Below are 23,378 nucleotides of genomic sequence, written 5' to 3'. Positions count from 1 at the left end.
AATGCCAATGTGCCATATTTTGGGGTAAGATGTTCTGAACCCCATCAGTGTGCACATACTACGCCTAGTCCTCAAGAGTGCTTGTGTATTTCCACTTATTGTCTCTTGCGCTTCTGCTACTACCATGAGAAGCACAAGGCTCAGCTAACCCTCTGGCCCTGAGAGGAGAATGAGAAGGCGGGACGCAGTGGTGTATGCCTGTAATCTCAGCTACTCAGGAGGCTGAGACAGGAGAATCACTTGAACCCGGGAGGCGGAGGTTGCAATGAGCTGAGATCACGCCAATGGACTCCAGCCTGGGCAACAAGAGCGAAACTCTGTCTCCAAAAAAAAAAAAATATATATATGTATATATATGATGAGAAATTTGGAGCAGAGCTTCCTAAGGAACTTCAGTCAAGCCCTATTAGAGTGGATCACAAATCCATCTGAGATTAGTTGAGCCAAGCCCTAAGCAGCTGACTCTCTCTCTTTTTTTGTTTTGTTTTGTTTTGTTTTGTTTTGTTTTTGAGACAGAGTCTCGCTCTGTCACCCAGGCTGGAATGCAGTGGCACGATCTTGGCTCACTGCAAGCTCCGCCTCCCGGGTTCATGCCATTCTCCTGTCTCAGCCTCCCGAGTAGCAGCTGACTCTCATTTAACCCCCAGACTCATGAGCTATAAAAATTATAGCTTTAACCCATTGAGTTTTTTAAAAAAATAATTTTAGATTTAATTTGCGTAGTATAAATTGCATACGTTTAAAAGGTTCAGTGAGTTTTGACAGGATATACATTGGTGATCTCAAATACTTGGCATTGTCAGTCTTTTAAATTTTAACCATTCTCATGGGTAGGTAGGGGTATCTCATTGTAGTTTTTTTGCTTTGTTTGTTTGTTTGTTTGAGACAGGGTCTTGCTCTGTCACCCAGGCTGGAGTGCAGTGGCGAGATTTCAGCTCACTGCAACTTTTGCCTCCTGGGCTCAAGCCATCCTCCCACCTCAGCCTCCCAAGTAACTGGGACTACAGGTGCTTGCCACCATGCCCAGCTAATTTTTCTGATAGAGATGGGGTTTTGCCATGTTGCCCAGGCTGGTCTCAAACTCCTGGGCTCAAGCAATCCGCCCACTTAGGCCCCGCAAAGTGCTGGGATTATAGGTGTGAGCTGCTGCACGTAGCCTTCATTGTAGTTTTAATTCATTTTCCTGAGGACTAGTAATGTTGAATACCTTTTCATGTGCCTATTGGCCATTTGTTTATCCTCTTTTTGTGACTGTTGAAATCTTTTGCTCCGTTTAAAATTATCTTCATATTCTTCAATTATTAGAGCTCTTTATAGATTCTAGATACAAGTTGTTAGATACACGTGTTACGAATTTTTTCCTCTATTCTGTGGCTTACCATTTTGATTTCTTAAAAACACTTGTTTTTTCTTTTATGCATTGTGCTTTTTGTGTCTTATATGTGAGTTTTGAGGTGGTTTGTGACTCAGCATTCGCTAGCTAAGACAGAAATCTAATAGATATTTCAAAACCAATGTTTCCAAAACTGGACTTCTGATAATCACCCTTCCACCCCCTCTCTAACCTGCTTGTCCAACAGGTGTCCTCATCTCCAAAAGCGTAAACCATTCTTTCAGTTATCAGGCAAAAAACTTTATTCTCTTCTTCCTGCCCCACTCTACGTGTAATCATCAGCAAAGCCTGTTGGAATTTCCTGCAAAGTATACCCATAACTCCATAACTTGACCATCCGTCACCATCTCCACCACTATCACCCTGGTCCAAGCTGCCATGGTCTCTGCCTTGAGTTTTTGTAATCATGTCTGAACTGACATCCCTCTTTTTGACTTATTGCATCATGATCTATTTTCAACACAGAAACGAGAATGATGCTTCTAACATTTTAGGTCTAATTATGACTCTCATCTGCTCAAAATCTTCCAGGGTTTTCTTTATTCAGGTTAAAACTCAAAATCCTTGTAATAACTCACAACACCATGCACAATCTTTCCCCGCCTCCACTCTCTCTCATATCACTTATGACCACTCTCTTCAGCTGTCACACACTGCTCATGCCCTCCTGGACTTCTTGCTGTCCCTTCAATATTCTAAGCAAACATCTTCTCAAGGCCTTTGCGTCTGATGCTCCTGTATCTGTAATAGCTTCCTCCCATATAGTTGTGTCCGCAAATTCCTTCATTTTCCTAAGGTCTCTACTCGCCACTTTGACATCTGACATTACATGCTTTATTCTTATTTTTTCCCACCACCTGATTTTTATACATTTGTTTCATATTTGTTTCTCTTCACCTCTTTTCTTTGTATCCTGCCAAATCTTTAGAATGTAAGTCTCACCAGGGAGGGATGTTATTTTGTTACCGGTGGATCCTCTGGGCTTGAAAATTATAAGCTTTTCGAGAGTACAGTGTTAGAGTATTAACCTGTATATAATAAATAACTTAAAGTTTAAAATCAAATTTATAATTTTTGATAAAAAGAAAAAGTCTGAATATTCTCTACAAGTAGAGAATATGTTTAAAATGTTGATGTTCTCAGCTGGGCACAGTGGCTTACATCTGTATTCCCAGCACTTTTAGTGGCTGTGGCAGAGGATCCCTTGAGGCCAGGAGTTCAAGACCAGCCTGAGCAACATAGTGAGAACCACCCCCACCCCGCGCCATCCCTATTTAAAAATATTATAAATAAATAAAACGTTGATGATCTTAAATAGTCCACTTAACCTCTAACCAACACTTACCCTATTTTTCTGCGATTGTTTACACCTAAACTTCTCAAAAGTTGCCTATATTCATGGTTTCCATTCCAATTAATTAATCAACTGAAAGACTCCTCTTGCCATAAGGGTCAAGGAATTTTCCAAGGTTGAGGACAAGGGTCAAGATTACAGTAGGCTGGTACAGTGAGTTGGAATCACTTTTTCTGAAAGTTTACTCACAATAAAGTGGACTGGAGAAAAGAACGGAAGATGAACAGCTTTGTCAGATTTCTCTTCTGCTGGATTTTCTGAATTTCTCATGTTTGCTCTGGATAGTTTTTATTTTGTGCTTGAGTGAATCTGCTGTTTCCTTCCTCATATGCGTATTTTAGTTCAGAGTTTGTTTTTCTTTTTTTAAGTGCTCTTATCCTAACAGATGTTTTTAATATATCATGTCTTGGTTTTGTTTCCAAGAGGTGATATGCTGCAGTTTATCACTGAGGTCCTGAGATGGTCCATACTCTAAGCTTTGTGTCTACTGTGGGGGGCAAAGGGAAAACTTCCCCCTTGCTCTCTGAAGAGTCATTGAAAATCAACTGACAAAAGGTAGATTGGTAGGGAAAAAAATCCATACACACTTATTAATGTGGGAGGCATGGGGAGGAAATCTCCCTAGTGGGGTACACAGAAGCTTATATACCCTTTTCCTTAGGGGAGGGAAGAGATGTGAGATGAAGACAATTCTTTCGAGGGCCAGTACCTCATTGTTCAGGAGAATGACTGGACCAGGATCACAGAAATGAACTTGTAAATGATTCTTTTTGGAATTTGAATGAAGTTGAGAGGCAGGCATTATCTTGTGAAAAAGTCTATTCAGGTGTGGTTGCATTTTTCAGTCTTCTTTTTAAATGAGATTTCAGGGAGGGGATATATCTTAGTCTGTGTTGCTATAAAGAAATACTTGAGGCTGGGTAATTTATAAAGAAAACAGGTATATTTAGCTCATCGTTTTGCAGGCTGTAGAAAAAGCATGGTGCCAGGGTCTGCTCCTGGCGAGGGCCTCAGGAAGCTTCCTCTCATGGCAGAGGGGAAGGGGAGCCGGCATCACATGGTGGGAAGAAGGAAGCAAGAGAAAGAGAGGCAGGAGGTGTCACAGAATTCTCATGGGAACTAAGAGTAAGAATTCACTTATTGTGAGGATGGCACCAAGCCATTCATGAAGGATCCACCCCCAGATCCAAACACTTCCCACTAGGCCCCACCTCCAACATTAGTGATCAAGTTTCAAAATGAGATTTGGAGGGGACAGACATCCAAACCATATCAGGCAGGATAGAAGGCATTTGTGCCTTTGGTAAGAAGCTTTCTTGGTCAGATAAAGAAATTCTGTAGAGAGTTGCTCCCTGTGCTTGGCAGAGAAAGGAACAAGGCAAGGTTAAAAGGGCCTTGGTTCTGAGGCCTTTCAATTTTCAAAAGCACTCAGCATACCCAAGAGCCATACTTTCATTTTTTGTACCCCAACACTACGTAGCTCCCCAGTGGGAAACTGAGGGGACACACATTGATTTCCAGGAGTGTCAGCTAATGAAGACAGAAAGAGGCACTGTGTCTGCTAGATTGGAGGATGAAAGAAGAGAAAACTTAAATTGACTTAATAATGAACCAATGATCTCACACTAAGAGGAGTCTAGAGGTAGGGTGGGCCTCAGGATCCACATCTCTGTGATGCTTTTGCCTCTGCTCTCTTCTGAGTGTTGGTCTCATTCTCAGGTTGGCGTCAAGATGGGTTATAATTCTAGGCATCATATTTGGACATAACCGCATCCAGAGGAAGAAGGACCATTCTCTTCCAAACTTCCACTGTCTCTTTCTAAGAAGTGAAGAAGCATTTCCCACACGCCTTCCCCACCCCTGTCCCCAAGCAGATTTCACATTTTATATCAACAGACAGAAGTGCACCATATGCCTACCCAGTCTTAAGCTGGCGAGGGCCTGGGACCCCCATGATCACCTTAGACTTCTCAGGGTCTCACCCTGGAGCTCACATTGGGGTCATCTTCCTCTAAGCCATGCAGAGGGGTGCATAACTGAACAAAAGTTAAGGTTTTGTTCAGAAGGAAGAAGATGGAGGTTAGAGTAGAAGCAGATACAACTAACTGTACCTGCTACAGACGCCCATCCAGATCCTACCACATATTCTACATAAATGGAAAGTAAAAGTGAAAGTGGATCCATCTGGAGGTCAGTTGATGGTTGGCTTTAATCCATCAAGAGGAGGACACACTAGGTTAGAAGTGAAAATAATCTGTTTCTGCAAGTTTGGAATATGTAAACTCAAAAACATCCATGTAAAAGTACCAGTAAAAGCTTACTTTGCATAAAGATTAAAATGATGTTAATCTGGGCTGGGTGTGGTGGCTCACACCTGTAGTCCCAGCACTTTGGGAGGACGAGGTGAGCTGATGACTTGAGGTCAGGAGTTCGAGACCAACCTGGCCAACATGGTGAAACACTGTCTCTACTAAAAATACAAAAAATTAGCTGGGCGTGTTAGCACGTGCCTGTAGTCCTGGCTACTTGGGAGGCTGAGGCATGAGAATCACTTAAACCCAAGAGGTGGAGATTGCAGTGAGCGGAGATCACACCGCTGTACTCCAGTCTGGGCAATAGAACCAGACTTCATCTCAAAAAAAAAAAAGAGATGTTAATCCACCAAGTTAAAACAAATTATCAAGAGTCATGTAATTTTAAAGCTGATAGGCAGAGTGAATATTGTAATCTTTGTTTACACTTTTACAACATGATCATTTTAGCTGGTAAACACATAAACCAATCCAGTTTTGCAAGATTCAATAAACCATGCTATTGTTTGCATTTTGGGACTCCTGCAAGTGATTTTAGTTACTATTATGTTTTTGTTTTAGCATTCACGGTTATTATTATGTAACATATTTTTACAACTCGGAACAATGTCATTCAAATGTTCACAAAATAGGGATGCAAGCATTTACATTGAAAAATGTTCCCCCAAATCAATAGCATTTGAAGGGAAGTTATATGTGATAAGATGCCAAGAAGGAGGGAAAACGACTACTGTGAAACATGGTGCAGTTAATATGGGAGACAGCACTCCATGAAATATTAGATGTAATGCTGGGAACAGGAAAAACAGCTTTAAAAGCAAAAAATATGTTATAACTTGTAAATGTGCTCTGAGAATACATCTGTCTTATTTTATATTTATTCCCTTGAGAAAATCATTCTTGAATTATGCAAGTTCGAATTACACAAGGTCTGGCAAGACACATCTTTTGTATGAAATAAGACCTCCCCACATTTTTATAACCAGAAATAATCCAACTTAAAAAAAAGTCAGTGCTGTTTCGCACTTAAATAAACAAGTTCCAGGTTGTCTTTTTAATAGGAAAACTGCATTTTTAGATTATATAATCCATCAGTCTGAATTGCTTAGGAAGTGCTTAGCAAAGTCATATGTGCATATAGGTGTAAAGGAAATGTTTTTTAGTGATAAGAATCGGATAGTTAATATTTCAAAAGCATTTTGTTCAGACAGGTGGAGAGCTAAATTAATTTCCTTGAACTGTTTAGGAGAATGCACAGGTATTAATCTAATTCAGCTTCTTATTAGTGCAAAACTCACAGGAATGTTACCATGTAGCAGTCAGCTGTCCACATGATTTATGCTATTTATTATTTTTAAAAGGAGGAGTGTTTTGCATTTCTATTTCCATGTGATAACCTCGGCAGAGTGAAATCCCATTTCTACTTTCCACGGTGTAATAAAAACAGATTTGGCTTTTCAAGTTCAATCGTGTGATTTGTGTGCGTAGTTTCAATTTGTGATGTGTCAGCCAGTGAACAGCTGATTTAATAACAGTTAAGAACCTCTACTACGTAGGAATGACTAAAGTGATGTTTCTGTAGATCAATAGTATTGCCTGGTTTTACTGAGGAAATAAATCATTTTGCTGCACGGTTGCCAAAATGTGAGAGGTTTTTGGATCGATGACACAAACCTATGTTATCTTTGGAGAGACTATGAGACCTTAGTTCATCAATCAAATCAACTTTAATTGAATCTAATTTAATGGACTACTGCCTAGTAAAAAGAACACTTAAAGTCATAGTTGAAACGCACAGGGCTTTTCTTTTCCTACAAGTAGCAAATACACTAAAGAGAAGGTGGCAGCTCAGTGGAGCTGCTGGCACGCCCTCCCTGCTGATGGATTTCTGAGAGTGGCTTCCCTTCTGATATTCTTGCTCAGAATGAGAACGTAGGACCTGAGTCTTACCTTTTAATGTAAGAAAAAGATGCTGCAGGCTATGTAGGCAGGAACCAGTGGATCTCTAATTAGGTTTTTAGTGTCGAAAAACAGGGATCATCTAGAAATGGCCTCGCTTTCCCTCTACTCTTTCACATTCTTTTTTTTTTTGTGGTAAATATTTATTTTTGTCATTTTAGCCATTTTGAAGCATGCAATTTAGTGGCATTAATTATATTCACAGAGTTGTGCCACTATCACCACCATCTAGTTCCAAAATGTTTTTATCACCCCCAACTTATATTCTTTAAGCAACAACCCCTCATTTTCTCCTTCCTCAGCCCCTGATAACAACTTCTCCTTCTTCTCCTTCTCCTCCTTCTCCTCCTCTTCCTCCTCCTCCTCCTTCTTTCTCCTCTTCCTATTCTTCTTCTTCTTTTTTTGAGACAGGGTTCCACTCTGCTGCCCATGCTGGAGTGCAGTGGCACACAGCTCATTGCAGCCTTGACTTCCTGGGCTCAGGTGATCTTCCCACTTCAGCCTCCTGGGTAGCTGGGACTACAGGCGCTCACCACCATGCTCAGCTAATTGTTTGCATTTCTTTTGTAGAGACAGAGTCTTGCCATGTTGCCCAGGCTGGTGTCAAACTCCTGGGCTCAAGCAATCCACTGGCCTCGGCCTCTCAAAGTGCTGGGATTATAGGAGTCAGCCACTGGGCTTGGCCACCCCAGGTAATTTTTTTTTTTTTTTTTTTGATACAGAGTCTTGCTCTGTCACCCAGGCTGGAGTGCAGTGGCATGATCTCGGCTGACTGCAACCTCCGCTTTCTGAGTTCAAGCGATTCTCCTGCCTCGGCCTCCTGAGTAGCTGGGACTACAGGCGCCCACCACCACACCTGGCTAATTTTTGTATTTTTTGTAGAGACAGGGTTTTGCCATGTTGACCAGGCTGGTCTTGAACTCCTGACCTCAAGTGATCCACCCACCTCAGCCTCCCAAGGTGCTGGGATTGCAGGCATGAGACGCCACACCCAGCCCACTCCTGGTAATTTCTAATCTATTTTCTGTTTCTATGAGTTTTCCTACTACAGATACCTCATATGAGTGGAATCATACAGTATTGGCTCTTTTGTAACTGACTTATTTCACATAGCATAGTATTTTCAGGGTTCATCGATGTTGTAGCATGTTTCAGAACTTCCTTCCTTTTAAAGTTTGTTCCTGGGAAACCAACCCAGGGCAGCAGTATGACAGTCGTATGACACAGCGGTATGAGAGTAGGAGTAGGGGCTGATGTGGTCTGCAGGGCATGGGGAAGATGTCCTTGAGGTAGTGATGTTTGAACAAAGCTCTGAAGATTAATTGGCTCAGGATTCCACAGGCTGTACAGGAAGCACAGTGGCTTCTGCTTCTGAGGAGGCCTCAGGAAGCTTCCAATCACGATGGAAGGCAAAGAGGGAGCGAGGCACTTCACATGGCTGGAACAGGAGGAAGAGAGAAGGAGAAGATGATCTAGGTAAAGAGGAGAATCGATGGTGTTCCAGGTTGAAGGGAGAGCAAGAGGAAAACCGCAAGGCAAAAAGAAGTCCGGGGAAAAAGAAGTCTGAGGCCTTTAAAGACCTGGCTGCTTGTTGGGCTTGGTGGCTCACACCTATAATCCCAGCACTTTGGGGGACCAAGGTGGGAGGATCACTTGAGGTCAGGAGTTCAAGACCCAGCCTGGCTAACATGGTGAAGCCCTGTCTTTACTAAAAATACAAAAATTAACTGGGCAAGGTGGTGCGTGCCTGTAATCCCAGTTACTTGGGAGGCTGAGGCAGGAGAATTGCTTGAACCTGGGAGATAAAGGTTGCAGTGAGCCGAGATCATGCCACTGTACTCCAGCCTGGGTGACAGAGCAAGACTCCATCTCAAAATAAATAAGTAAATAGAATGAATGAATGAATGAATAAATAAATAAATAAACAAAAATAAGTAAATAAAGACCTGGCTGCAGAACAAAGTGCCAGGAGTGGGTGGCCTGGGGAAGGTGCCAGATCATGCAGAGTGCTTCTAAGGCCACATTAAAGATAGTGGATTGGAGGGTGTGTGTGTGTGTGTGTGTGTGTGTGTGCATGTGTGTGCATGTGTGTGACAGGGAGCATTGTGTGTGTTTTGAAAAGTCATTCTGGCTGATAAGTTATGGGTTAGAAGGGAAAAAGAGCTGAGATGTCAGAAAAACAACTGAGTCTGGTCAAGAGGTGCTGTCTTGGAGTTGTGTCATTGCTGCTGATGTGTGGAAAGTGGATGGATTCATGAGAGGCTGCAGAGATAAAATTACTTAAGATGGTCAATTTTGTGTTACACGTATTTTACCACAAATTTTAAAAGTCACCAGGCCACAGTGACTGAATAGGGGCAGAAGGGACAAGCAGTGGCAAGGATTTTTAGGCTGGAGCAAATGGATAAATAGTCCCTTGGAGGAGCACTAAGTTTGTGTGGATCCATGAGTTCAGTTCTGGACAGTTTGAGGTGCGGATGCTATTTACAGAAGTGGATATAGAGATCTTGGGCCCGAAGGAGATGTACGACCATCAGGCCCATGCTGAATCCTAGTCATCAGGCTGGAGTTCAGATGCAGGTTTTAATTCTTGGGAGGAAGTGGCAAGACAATTGTAGGGTTCCAGGCATAAACAATCTTGTTAGGCAGAGAAGGCTCCTATCAACATAACTGAGTTTGGGAATAATAAATCTGCTCTCAGAATTGGCAAATGAAGTCAAGGGTAGAAACAGTGTTCCCCAATTGCAGTCTTGGGCCCTAAAAGATCCCATGATATCCTCATTCTTGGTATTTTTCCTGCTCCACAGAATCTAAAATATTCCTGGAAATGGAGAGTCCTGACATGATGGCCCCATGATGAAAAGAACCCAGGTTCCTGAGTCACGACGTGGACATGAGGCACCAAGGAGAAAACACGTGAACCTTAATAAGTTTGGGGTGAGAGAGAAATAAACCTTAAGTATGTTAAGCTTCTGTCATTTCAAGGTAATACAGTGTGGAAGGCAGAAAAATGACCCACTCTCCCCTGATATCCATTAAAGATGTCCAAATCCTCATTTCTGGAACCTGTGAATATGTTGTTACATGACAGTAGCAGTCACATAGCAGATTGAATTAAGGTTTGTATTAGTCTGTTCTTACACTGTTATAAAGAAATACCTGAGCCTGGGTAATTTATAAAGAAAAGAGGATTACTTGGCTCATGGTTTTGCAGGCTGTACAGGAAGCATAGTGGCTTCTCCTTCTGGGGAGGCCTCAGGAAGCTTCCAATCATGGTGAAAGGCAAAGGAGCGAGGTACTTCACATGACTGGAGCAGAAGGGAGAGAGAGAGAGAGAAGTGGGGGAGGTGCTATATACTTTTAAACAAGCAGATCGTGTAAGAACCCATTCACCATCAAGAGAACAGCATCAAGTGGATGGAGCTAAACCATTTATGAAGGATCCATCCCCATGATCCAGTCACCTCCCACAAGGCCCTACCTCTAACTATGGGGATTATAGTTGAACATGAGATTTGTGCAGACACACAGGTCCAAACCATATCAAGGTTGCAAATCAACTGACCTTAAAAGTCTCCCAGATTACCCTGCTGGTCCTAATCACTGGAGTCCTTAAAAGCAGAGAACCTTTCCCAGTTGTGGTCAGAGAAAGATGTGATAAAGAAAGCAGCATCAGACACATGTGACATTGTTGGCTTTGATGAGGGTAGGAGGGGTCACGAGCCAGGGATTGTGGGCAGCCTCTAGAAATTGACCTCATTTAACTAAATTACTTCTTCAAAGGTCCTACCTTCAAACATGGCCACATTCTGAGAGGGGGTTAGGACTTCAACATATGAATTTTGGTGTGACACAAATCAGTCCATCATACCAAGACTGTAGACTTTTAGACTGTTGCAATTATGAAAATGCAAGTCATGTTTTTGTTCCATGAGTTTGAGGTATATTCCAGAATTGTTTCTGTCATCAACTCACATCAAAAGCACAGCATAGCCAGAGCAGAACATTGAGCTCCTGGAGAACTCTCAGGAGGCAGGCATTTGGGGCCAGTGTAATAGAAAAGCAATGCTGGGGAAAGACCAATTTGAAATACCTCCTTGCAATCAGCTTTGGTATAAACCATTAACCCAGTAAGTAGTGGAGCCCATGCTTGCTCTCCACTCAGCTTTTCATCCTGTACACATTCCTTATAGCCTCCTCCTATATTGGTCAACAGAAATGTCCATCATAGCCCCAGCACATTACTAGAACATGTTATTTTGGAAAATACAAACTATGGAAAACCCTCATAGGTGTTTGTAATTTTGTAAAATTATAGGTTCAAGGAAAAACCAGCCAAAAATTCCTGACCATTTTATTATGATAATAAATCAAATTTTATATAAAAGTATCTATGGCATGTGGCCAGGCCTTAATTTTTGCTCTGTGTCTCCAGAGACCATGCCGTCATGTAGATTCTTATAGAATGCAGGATCAGTCTTGAATGCTTTGGAGGTTACACTCTTGTTTGAAAGAAATTACAAACCAGACTGAGAATATAAAATATATGTAAAACCACAACATCTATAAACCTTTATAATCATACAAGTAGTAAAATTATGTTTGAGGTCATAAAATAGGCATAAATGTACTAAGTACATGGATTATAAAATAGGCACTAATGTATTATAGACTAAAATATACCTGAAATATAAAATAGGCACTAATGTATTATAAAATACACCTGGGTCATGTTAAAAATACAACTTTACTATATCATAAATTTGATTCATATCTAGCAGGTAGACAAACATACGATCAACATTAAATTTCTTTGACTTTTAATTCCAAGGTGTGGTTGAGGTGAGCTTTCAATAGCCTGTTTCTCAAAATCTTTCATAATACTGTTCAAGGAAGGTAGGACTGTCTTTTTTTTTTTTTTGTAGAGATATCTTTTGTAGTTAATCAAGGAGTTCTTCTCAGGATTACTCTCACAGTTGGATTCATTCTTTCCATTTCAGCATCTTTACACATTTAAAGACAGGTCCTGTCTAAATTACACGGAGTTTTAGATTTGCTGTCTGCTGAGTTTATTCCTCCTTTATCTTTGTCGCCTCCATCTCCAACTTCCCACACCAACTGTCATCCAAATGTCATTTTTTGACTGCCCCAAACCACAGCTACTTTCTAGTTTCAGAGCCTCCCCCAACAGTATGAATCTTGTAGGGTTGGGGAGAGCGGGGATGAAGAAGGGGAGGGAGGCAGGGTCGTCCTCACAGTACAGAGCCCGAGACTGAGAGAGCCTCCCCATCCTTGGCCGTTGACAGCCAGAGTGAGGCACAGGACCCTCCAGCCTGGACTTTACATGTCCAGGGAGTGATACAAAGATGTAGGAACAGCTAAGAGAGGATGCCTTCTGGTGTTCAGAGTCCATGTCGGTCTTGGCCTTGAGTGTCCAATGGAAGCAGAGCCAGCGGCTCTGTCCTGGAACCATACTTCCTGCTGTCCAGCCTTGTTCCTGACCATTTTCCAAGCTTACTTCTTTAGTCATCCTGTGGATTCTGTGTGCTATTTGGCAGCCTTCCAACAACTTTCCTTTTGCTTAAGTTTCTGAGGCTTTCAGCTATCCGATGTGCAGGGAGTATCAGAGAATGAAGCCTGTATGGGCATGGCATACATTTGCCTGGGGAGTGGAGCAGAATGATGCTGCGATGCTGAACTGTCATTCTCAGGCTTTTGCATTTTACACATTGCAGACGTTTTTACCAAAATAGTAACTTCAGACATTTTTATGGGAATATCCTCATGTTGCATTTCATCAGACCTGCGGTCCCAAGGTTCTCTGTGATGAGCTCTTTCATTTATCCCTCTCTCTCTCTCCCACATGCACTCACTCAGTGTTTACCAAGTAATGACTATCTTCTTAGATCAGCTGGGTCAGCGTGGGTATCAGCATCAACTAGACATCATGTTTAGATCCTGCCTTCTGATATGAATGTCTGCTCCTGGATGTTTGGATCCAGGTCACAGGTCTAGAGCTCCCCTTTCCTTCTTTTGCTAAGCTTCCCATCCTGAACCCCAACTTTTCCCTCTGGTATCTGTCATCAGCTAGGAAACTTGGAGTGCAAATCACCAGTTTGGATCTTAACAAGAAGGGGTGGAGTTCTCAGTGAGGGCCTGTGCTTCTTGCGCAAACCTCTCCACCCTCGCCCCAACAGAAGAGGAAGTTACCAGATTTACGTTTAAGTCACCAAAGGGTCACTCCAGTGACTTGTTTAGAACAAAGAGGTCTGCTCCAAACTGAAGAATCTAAGATCTACTGGTAACTCCTGTGTTGCAGTTTCTTTGAGACAATAAAACAATGGTAGTTAAGGATCTTGAATGTGAATATTAACTTGGCTTTGAGGGTCTTGGTTCCTCTGCTTAATTGCTAGACATGGTGGCCTCATGTGGAGAGGGCAGGGCAGGTCCTATTTTTTTCCTTAGAAATCCTATGCCTAGCCCAGGGTATCCATATCTTTTGTAGAATGAATGAATTCTTCCACAGTCTGCATTCAGGAAATGATTTTCCTTAAATACTGAATCTGGAAAAGTTTTAGAATAGTGAGGTCTAACCAAGGAGTTCACAGATTTAAAGTCCAGGGACACTTCCATCTATTCATTAGGTTATTTCAGATTTGTGTCTTTGGCTCTATTACACTTGCAGAATTCATCACATTGGAGTTATATAAAACAAGGTCAATTTATTAATTTACAATGTGTAATCACCTAGTGCAGCTGTCTGCAAATGGTATTCCCTTTCTGGATATTTCTCAGATAACTAAATTTAGATCAGAATACCGCTGGGTGAATATATAATTAGACTCCAAAGGGAGTCATATGTCCCCAAGGGGTACTTCTAACAAGCCATGGTAGCTTCACAGAAATACCTTTCTTCTCTCTGGGGAGAAAGAATATTTCTATTCAGCCATTATCTGAGAGAAAATAGCACAGCAGCTGAGGCTTGGTTTGAGGACTTCTAGCTTTTATATTGTATGTGTTTAATTTTTTCAATGCCCTGTCCTCCCCTGAATTCAGAAAACCTATACTGCTCACAGCAGTATCAAATAATAGTTATTTTTACCTTGGTATGAATTCAAATCTATGCATTATCTTTCTAAGGCATTTTATATTTTGAAGCTCACTTCAAAATATGGGTCTCAAAGCATTGTTCTTATAGAAGGAAATCCATAGATCAGTGAGTGCTGGGGAAATATTATATTTCTTGGTCACAGGGCAATTGGTCAGTGTTACTGACACTGGCCCACGTGGGTAGGCTCCTACCTTGTCTGTAAATAAGAAGATTCTTTTCTGCTTTAAAGATCCAGGGTCATTGTGTGAAATTACGTAACAGTTGGGTGTGTTTTCTGGAAGAAACACTGACATTGTTTCTCAGCTATGTTTTGCTAAACTCCATAAAGTCATCCACTCATCTTTGCCTCTTGAGTTTTCAACCTCCTAAGTACACATCTATGTGAAGGTTTTTGCTGCTGTTCTGTTCTTTCCTCTGCCTAGAAAATGCTCTCCCAGGTAGCTACATGGCTCCTGCACTTCCTCAGAATCTCTGCTCAAATAGCATCTTTTAGAGAGAACTTCCGCTGTGCCTGCCTAGAACGGTAGCCCCATCCCTTCGTCTACCTTCATACCCTACTCTACGTTATTCATAGCACTTATTACCGCCTGCCAATAGGTTATGCATCAAGTTACTTATTATCTATCTGTCTTTCATATTAGCTTCATGAAGGCAGAGGCTTTTGGTTCATCTCTGCTTGTTAGATGAGTGCCTTGCACATAGTATGCTCTCAGTAAATGTTTGTCAAACAAGCAAATGAATTAATGAATGTGTTAAAATGTACTCATCTCAAGTTCAGAGGTTATTTCTTCTGGACTATTTTGCAGCTGGGCCCTTTCTTTTCTTTGTTTTTCCCTCCCTCCCTCCCTCCCTTCTTATTTGTCTTCCTAAAATAAATATTTATCAAGGCATTTCAATCCCAGACTGAAAAAGGTTAATTCTAGAATGGTTTTCCATGGATCATGAGTGCTTGCTGTCTTCTTTTCCCAGATGGTAAGCTTTTCTGCTTGTGGGTTCTCCATATTTTAGGACCTGCAGTTCTCAGTTTATTGATTACATCATCATCCGTTACACATGGCTTGAAGGATGACAATCGTGAAAAAACTGAACTCATGAAAATAGCAGTTGTGCTGAGCTTATTTTCTAGTGGGGCTCCAGTGCCTGGTGCAGGAAAAGCATTTTGTGAATATTTGTAGAACAAGTGGATTTAAATGAATGATAAGACACTGAGTTAGAAGACATCTGCACATCAGGGTAGAATGCACGGAAAAGCCAAATGCCCCCAAAAGTAGTTTTTCAAATGTTGTAAGATTCATTTTGTTCCCTTAATTGAAGATCTTTTTTCTGTTGCCCTTACTTAGACACAAAGGGGAATTAAACAAATGTGCCAAATCATTGTTTATATCTGATCATGAATTATTTATCCAAAATATAAGCTCTGTAATTTAGCTTCAGAATTACTGTCATTACAGCAAATCAGGAAATGTATTTATAATAACTTGACTTTTCCCCGTTTATTAACTTAAAAAATAAACGATATAGACTTAGGTGTTAAAAAAATGTTTTTGAAGATATCTAGTGAAAAGTTAAGCCACTGTCTCACTCCTGTCTTCTAGTTTCTGTCATTAATCTCTAGGTTAATAACAATTCCCAGTTTCTTCTATAGCTTCCTAGTTTATCTCTATGTATATATTTAGTTGTTCTTTTTTGAAAATATAAATGGCAGCATGCACTCATTGTTCTTTATCTTGCTCTTTTTAATTTTTTTTAATAGAGACTGGGTTTCCCTGTGTTGTCTAGGCTAGTCTTGAACTCCTGCACTCAAGCAATCCTCCTGCCTTGGCCTCCCAAAGTGCTTGGATTACAGGCATGAGCAACCATGCCCAGTCCAACTTGCTCTTTTTATTTCACATTGAATGTGGAGATTGTTATGATCTGATTGTTTATTTACTCTCAAAATTCATATGTTGAAATCTTAACCCCTAAGGTGATGGTTCAGGGTGTGGGGCCTTGGGAGGTAAACTGAGGGCAGAACTCTTATGACTGGGATTAGTGCCCTTATAAAAGAGCCAGCTATTTCCTTCCACCACGTGAGTACACAGCAAGAAGCTGCCATCTATGAACCAGAGAGGGAGCCCTCACCTGACACTAAATCTTCTAGTCCCTTAATCTTGGATTTCACAGCCTCCAGAAGGAGAACTGTTGGGCCAAAGGGTAATTTGTAATTTTTACAGATGATGTCAAATTGCTTTCCATGAAAGTTGCACTATTTAACTCTTACCCCTTGTTATGATTTGAATGTCCCCTCCAGAACTTATGTTGACATTTAATTGCCATTGAGGCAGTATTAAGATGTGACTAAGTTATGAGGGCAAAGCCCTCATGAGTTAACGCCATAACCATGGGAGTGGGTTAGTTGTTGCGTGAGTGAGTTAGTTACTCCATTTTTCAGACTCAATTTTTTGAAAATGTCTGTATCTCTGTCTCTAGGGTACACCTCCTTGCCATGTGTTACCTTCTGTCATGTTATGATGCAGCAAGAAGGCCCTAATCAGTGGTAGTCCCTCAGTCCTGGACTTCTCAGCCTCCAGAACTGTGAGCCAAATAAATATCTTTTCTTCATAAATTACACAATCTGTGGTATTCTGTTGCAGCAACAAAAAATGCTCTAAGAAACCTTCAATTGCTGGTCCTCAGTGATAATTCTCATTATTGATATAAAAGTTGATTTTAAAAGATCTTCACCAACAGCATGTTATTAAACTTTTTGGTAACTTGCCAATCTTGTAGGTTGAAAAAACCTTGCCATCGTTTTAATTAGCATTTCTCTTTAATTTCCCTCTTCCCTATGAGTGAGGTTGAACATCTCTTCATTGGTTTAACCCATTTATGCCTGAGGTTGCAATTTTTTGAATTTTTGCAATCAGACCTTAGCAATGACCTTGAGCAGTAGGATATAAATAACTCCCACATGCTTAGCGTTCCAATAATGGAAAACTAGAGATAAATGGATTTTAAGACTCATTTGTATTTTCTTTGCTGGGAAGTTTGTTCTTATCCTTTCCTCATTTTTCTATTAGGTTTTTCTTTTTACTGTATTTGTTAGAGCTTTTTCTGTGTTAAAAAATTTAGCGAAAGTTATTGTTGCTGACAGTGGTTCACTAGGGTTAAGACCACTGGAAAAAATGGCATTAAATTATACTTTATGAACTTTAACATGTCATTTTACTGTTTCTAAAAATGAAAGTTATTTAGAAACATACCTATAATAACATTTATCTTCTTTAGTAATTGACAAATAGTGTTAATGTTGTTAGTGCTAGTACCTGAATATGCAGTTCACAGACATTGAGAGTTTGAGGAAAACTTAGATTATCTAATTCTACTCTCCCAGTTTGTAGAGAAGAAATTAAGGGCAAGGAGACTTGGTCATTTGGCTGCAACTATCAAAAAGCCAGGCTCAAACTGGCTTCCAGAATAAGAAAATGGATTGGTTCACCTAAAAGGAAGCCCAGAGTCAGTGCAGGCTTTGGGGCTGGGAGATTCAATCAGCTCAACAACATTTTCAGAAGCTCATGTTATTTTCTACCAAAGGGCAGGTGCCAGGGGTTGTCAGTAACAATGGGGGCATCATGGCAGTAGCTACTGCTTCTTTATTCTCCTCCAACAGGGGAGAGAGAATGCTGCTTCTGTAAAGCCTCTTGGAAGAATGACTACAAACCTTAGTCTTTACTAAAAGTCATTTAGTCATTTACTAAAAGTCATTTAGTAAAGTCATTGGTCTTTACTAAATCACATGACCCCTCCCCTGAGCCAATCATTGGGAAGGGGATGGCTCACCCTTAGACCAATCAGGATCACACCTATGGCTGGGGGTCAGGCCAGCTTCCAGTGTGTCACATGGGGTATTAAGGAGGGTCTAGGCACCTAAACAAAATCAGAAATCTGGGATATGTGAATATCATGTAGAATGGCAGCACTTAACCTCACATCGTTATTTTGACTTATAACATGTACAAAATAAAATAGATTCCCACTTGAAATCTGTATCAATCAATATTCTCCATAGAAACCAAACCAATAGGACACACACACACACACACACACACACACACACACAGAGAGAGAGAGAGAGAGAGAGAGAGAGAGAGAGAATTATTTTAAAGAATTGGCTCACACCATTGTGGGAGCTGGCAAACCTGAAATCTCTCCCTTTCTCTCTCTCTCTCTCTCTCTCTCTCTCTCTCTCTCTCTCTCTCCCCCCCCTTCCTCCCCTCCCTCCCTCCCTTCCTCCCTTCCTTCCTTTCTTCCTTCCTTCTTACCAAGTCTCGCTCTGTCTCCCAGGCTGGAGTGCAGTGGCGCCATCTCGGCTCACTGCAACCTCCGCCTCCTGGGTTCAAGTGATTCTCCTGCCTCAGCCTCCTGAGTAGCTGGGATTACAGCAGTGTGCCACCATGCCAAGCTAAAATCTGAAATCTTACAGCAGACCAGCACTCAAACTCAGGGAAGAGCTGATGTTGCAAGTCTTGAGGCAGAATTCCTCCTTCTTTGATAAGCCTCAGTCTTCGCTGTTAAGGCCTTCACCTGATTGGAAAAGGCCCACCCATATGATTGAGGGTAATCTCCTTTACTCAAAATCAACTGTAAATGTTAATCACATCTACAAAATACTTTCACAGCAACATCTAGTCTAGTGTGTGGCCAAACAACAAGGCATTATAGCCTAGCCAAGTTGACATATAAGATTAACTATCACATAATCTTTGTCCTCCAATCTTAATTTCCTTAATGTTTCTAACCTCCTACTTCCTTAAAATGGGTGGCTGTGGTGTGATTTCAGAAATGTAAACCTTAGCATGAGGGTGGAAACCACTATAGAAAACACAGAAATCATCGTTTTTCATACTAGTCCAAAGGATCCATACAGATGTCTCCAGACAGATTCAGCTCAATTTTCCAGATGTGAACACTTATACTGTTTCAGATTTAATCCATGGTGTTCTGCTGTGGGAAGGGGGGACTGGAAAGATGTTTTCTTTAGCATCTGCAATATAAGACAGAATGCAGTCCATGTCCCCACAAGTATCCCAAACAATGGGTCCAGGCTCAATCACTAAAGGGAAAAATTAGGGTTAGAAACCTTTACGTATGGTCTGTCTGAGCCAGCCTCTGGCTGACAAACCACTCATCCAATGATGGTAGTCCACTTGTTTGACAGCACTATGAATACATACAGTATGTTCTGGGCAGGTGGTTTGACAAATATTCCAGGGCAATTTATAAGATTTTAGCTCAAGCATCCTTCAGACTGTTTAAGGCCTGTTTTGGGTATTAGTGTGTACTTAGCAGATTATTAAAAAAAAAAAACTTTCATAACGTGAAATTCCTTTTTCTTCATAGGGATAATTTTAACCTGCTGGTAGTTTTCGTTTTTATGTGCTGTGATAGTGCTTGTTTATCTCAAAGTTTGTGTAAGGTTAGGCTGTTTCTACCCCAAAAGCCACTTCATTCCCTTGGCTAAAGCAAAGTCATGGGAATCAGTTACCCTTAGGGGGCAAAAACATACAAGCAAGTCTCCCATTAATGTTGAGGGGGAGTTTTGGGTACTAGCTGTCAGAGTTTCACCCTGCCTTATCTTAAAGTCTTCTTTCTAACTCATTGAAGACAAATAACACAGGGTGTTGGTGGGTGTGTGTGTTTATATGAGGGTGTGGGGAGAACACACGGACTTTGGGGAGCAGCCAATTTGGTGCAATTTGGGAATGATTGCCTTGTACAGAGCCAGCCTGAATAGTTTCCTTCCTCTGCGTATTTTAATAATTGTCAAGGCAAAAATAAAAGTGGCTGCGTTCCCTCTTTGGTGATGTCTCCGATCTGGAAGCCCTGTTGCTCTCCTGGGTCCCTCAGCGCCACAACGGACGTCAGTGGGAAGGGACCCTGTGTCCTTCGATGTCAAAGAGTTTCATCCCTATTTTAAGCCTGGGGTGGGGGAGCCCCGCTGCCAGGGGCAGCCAGAGAACCGATTTCCCCCTCCCGATGAGTCTGAGCTCTGGCAAAGTCTTCCGACAGCGCTCCCGGGAGCTTCCTAGGGATTGCTGACCTGACAGTGTCCACCGTTGAGGGGAGAATAATTGTGAACATCTATGCTGGCTTGTTTTAAAAAGCTAAGCGGCTGGCAGCGGGGCGTGCCTGTGGCCCGTCTTGCAGGTTCCGCGGCTGTGCAGTGAGTGCGCTTCTGGGCTGCAGGAGTGGGGCAAGGACGCCCCTCGGCCAGGTGTGGCTGGAGGCTGGGGAGGAGGAGAGCGCCCTCTGGTGGCCGAAAGAGAGACTGCCTGCGGGGCCCGGGCACCGGGAGGCTGGGTTTTCTCTGCAAAGAGCCTTGTCCGCAGATGGAAGCAAAGCAAACCCAAACTCCTTTCGGCTGCTGTGCTACCCTTTCTTCCGTTTTCTCAGGAGGGAGGATGATGGGCGCTGGGGAAGGAAAAGAAGAGCTAAGGATCTTCCTGTTTCTCCCTGGGGGCGAGCTTTTGTGCTGACTGAGGGGGACGGCTTTCTTATTGCTGACCCAAAGGTCCTTCCTTCTCCAGTGTTTGCCTAGTGTTTGAGGGGCGCACTTTCCTTTCCCCAGTGTGTCTTTTTTTTTTGCATGATCCTGCAGTGGCCTTCATGGTGTTGCCCCATCCAACTTTAATTCGGGGCCTCAAAATTGGGAGTAGGGACATAAAATGTGTGTGTGTTTGTGTGTGTGTGTGTTTTAGAACAGGCTCGAACTGGACTCTACCACCCCCTCCCACTGTGACGACTTCCCAGTGGGGGAGCAAGTCCCTTGAAAACAGCCAGCCTTTTGTTTGGGGTATTAGAGCAATTTCATTTCAGTCCTGTTCATTATTCAGAAAATTTTTTTTTAAATATCATTTATTACACTCTTTGCTTTTATTTTTTTGAGGCAGAAACTCACTGTCGCCCAGGCTGAAGTTCAGTGGCAGGATCTCTGCTCACTGCAGCCTCCGCTTCCCGGGTTCAAACAATTCTCCTGCCTCAGCTTCCCAAGTAACTGAGACTACAGGTGTGCACCACCACGCCTGGGTAATTTTTGTATTTTTAGTAGAGAACGGGATTTCATTATGTTGGCCAGGCTACTCTTGAACTCCTGACCTCAGGTGACCCACCTGCCTCGGCCTCCAAAAGTGCTGGGATTACAGGCGTGAGTCACCACGCCCAGCCCCATTATTTAAAATTTTGTTTAAACTCCTTGCACAGCTTTTTTCCTCAGGTGAGGCTGGAGCCATGGACCTGGCTCTGTGTGTGTGTGTGTGTGTGTGTGTGTGTGTGTGTGAGACCCATGCCCTTCCCATATTGTCCTAGGCTGGTTTCTCCAAAATGCAAGTCACAAGCCATTGCTGGCTCATAATATCAATTTAGAAAGTCACAATCTTTATTTTTCTTTAAAGGAGTAGAATGGAATACAAATTACAAAGTACATTCCAAGTAATAGAGTATGATTTCCTCAAAAAGCTGTTTCAGGTGTGTGTGTATGTGTGTGTGTGTGTGTGTGAAAATAAATGTGATAATAGATGTCAGCTGCCTGGAATTGTGTGAATCGTGTCATAATGTAAAACATTTACTGTGGGTCATGCTTAGAGAAGTTTGAAAGTCATTGTTTTAGCCAGGGGTGGTGGACATGCACTTGTGGTCCCTGCTACTCAGGAGGCTGAGGCAGGAGGATCTCTTGAGCTCTGGAGATGGAGGCTGCAGTGAGCTGTGATTGTATCATTGCACTCCAGCCTGGGTGACAGAGCGAGACCTTGTCTTTAAAAGAAAAAAAAAGAAAGAAAGTCACTGTTGTAGATGTGGCTTCTTGTTTGAGCAAAGGAAGGTGGGGTGCAGGGGAAGGGGAAAGGAGAAGGGAGCAGAAAGAGGAATCTTGAGGGACCCTCTGCTGCAGATTAGTGAAGTATGTCTGCCCCAGCCTTACCCTGGCCACTTCTGGTCCTTCTGCGGTGATGGGCTCCACTGTAGTGGTGTTGCTGTCATAGCTGGTGTTTGTGGTTGTTTAGGAGCTGTGTTCAGTTTCAGCTTCACTGAGGAGCTACCACGTTTCCAAGACAACAGGAAAAAACATCCCACTAAATACCATGTTGCACAAACTTTTTATTGGAATGTCTACAATCTTCCATGTACCTTTTTCTTTAGTCATATAATATTGTATGTTCTTGGCTTCCATTTCTCCCCACTGCAATATTCCTGCCATCTGGGGTCTCTTTTCCTATCACCCTGCAACTTCCCAAAAGCTTCCTCTGAGCTGCTGAATGGGAACCGACCCAAGCCTCCTCTGGACCCCCCACATTTGGTCTCCTTGGCTATTACATGTTTTCTTTCATTTTTCCTCACAGTGAAATGAGTGGTTTATCTGTCTCCTCTACCAGACCGTATTTCCTAGAGGATGTGGGTCACAGTCCAGTTGTCCTTGCATGCTTTGTAGCACTTTCCATAGAGTAAGTGGTGAAAATGATCATAGCACATTGAATGGCAAAAAGGAACTTCTTAGTCATCTCTTAGGAAGCATTTTCTATAATTGTCTGGTTGCAATTCAGGATTATCATTGTGTGCCAACAGCTGCAGGCTCATTTTAAATGTTGATTCTACAAATCCTCTCAAATAACAATGCCTTATGTTGACTTAGATTTTATAAAATGTCCTAGGTCACATGGTTTTGTTTAAAACACTTCTTTTGTCTTTGAAACAGCCAAGTGAAGTTCGATGTGGTAGATGTTACTTTCATTTTTTAGATGAGGAACTGTTCAGAAAGTGTAAGTGACTTGCCCAAGGTTCCTTGGATAGTAAATCACAGCTTGTGTTCTGTTCCTCTCACCTCTTTGCACAGAGCTTTGACATTCTTCTGTCAAGTCACCTTGCAAGTCTCATGCTTTCTGGGTAAGTAAATGCCATCCATGTACTTGTCCCGGGTCTTCAGTGATAAGTTTTGGTCCTGTCCTCAGCTGCTGGTGCCTCACTGAGTATATGACACTAGGCAAGCCATTGACCTGTTTCCACATCTCAGATCTTTCATCCTGAAAATAAAGATGACAATAGTTGCAGGCTGCCTCGAATGGCGTGGTGAAGATTAATGAGATGATGCAGAGAAGTGCCCTGAGCTTCTGGGACAAAAGGCTTGGTAGAAGCACAAAGTCTAATTATAATTTTCTAACATTTTCAAAGAGCCCTCTGGAAAGGCTAGCTCTTGCTTCTAAATTTGGAGAGGATGCCTGC

The 23,378-nt window shown here is 42.1% G+C and overlaps 1 long non-coding RNA gene across 2 annotated transcripts in view; it reads left to right on the top strand.

Annotated features, from left to right (window-relative positions):
• The window catches only part of LOC124904314 (uncharacterized), a 31,764-nt gene that overhangs the window by 4,497 nt on the left and 3,889 nt on the right, over positions 1-23,378 (top strand). For both annotated transcript variants that reach the window (XR_007066395.1, XR_007066394.1), the window contains 3 exons: positions 9,826-9,955; positions 16,599-16,703; positions 22,993-23,042. This is a non-coding gene — a long non-coding RNA (uncharacterized LOC124904314). The remainder of the gene's footprint in view (positions 1-9,825; positions 9,956-16,598; positions 16,704-22,992; positions 23,043-23,378) is intronic.

This window comes from Homo sapiens, chromosome 18 (assembly GCF_000001405.40).
Source record: "Homo sapiens chromosome 18, GRCh38.p14 Primary Assembly".
Lineage (NCBI taxonomy): Eukaryota > Metazoa > Chordata > Mammalia > Primates > Hominidae > Homo > Homo sapiens.
This window is presented reverse-complemented; position numbering and strand designations above follow the sequence as displayed.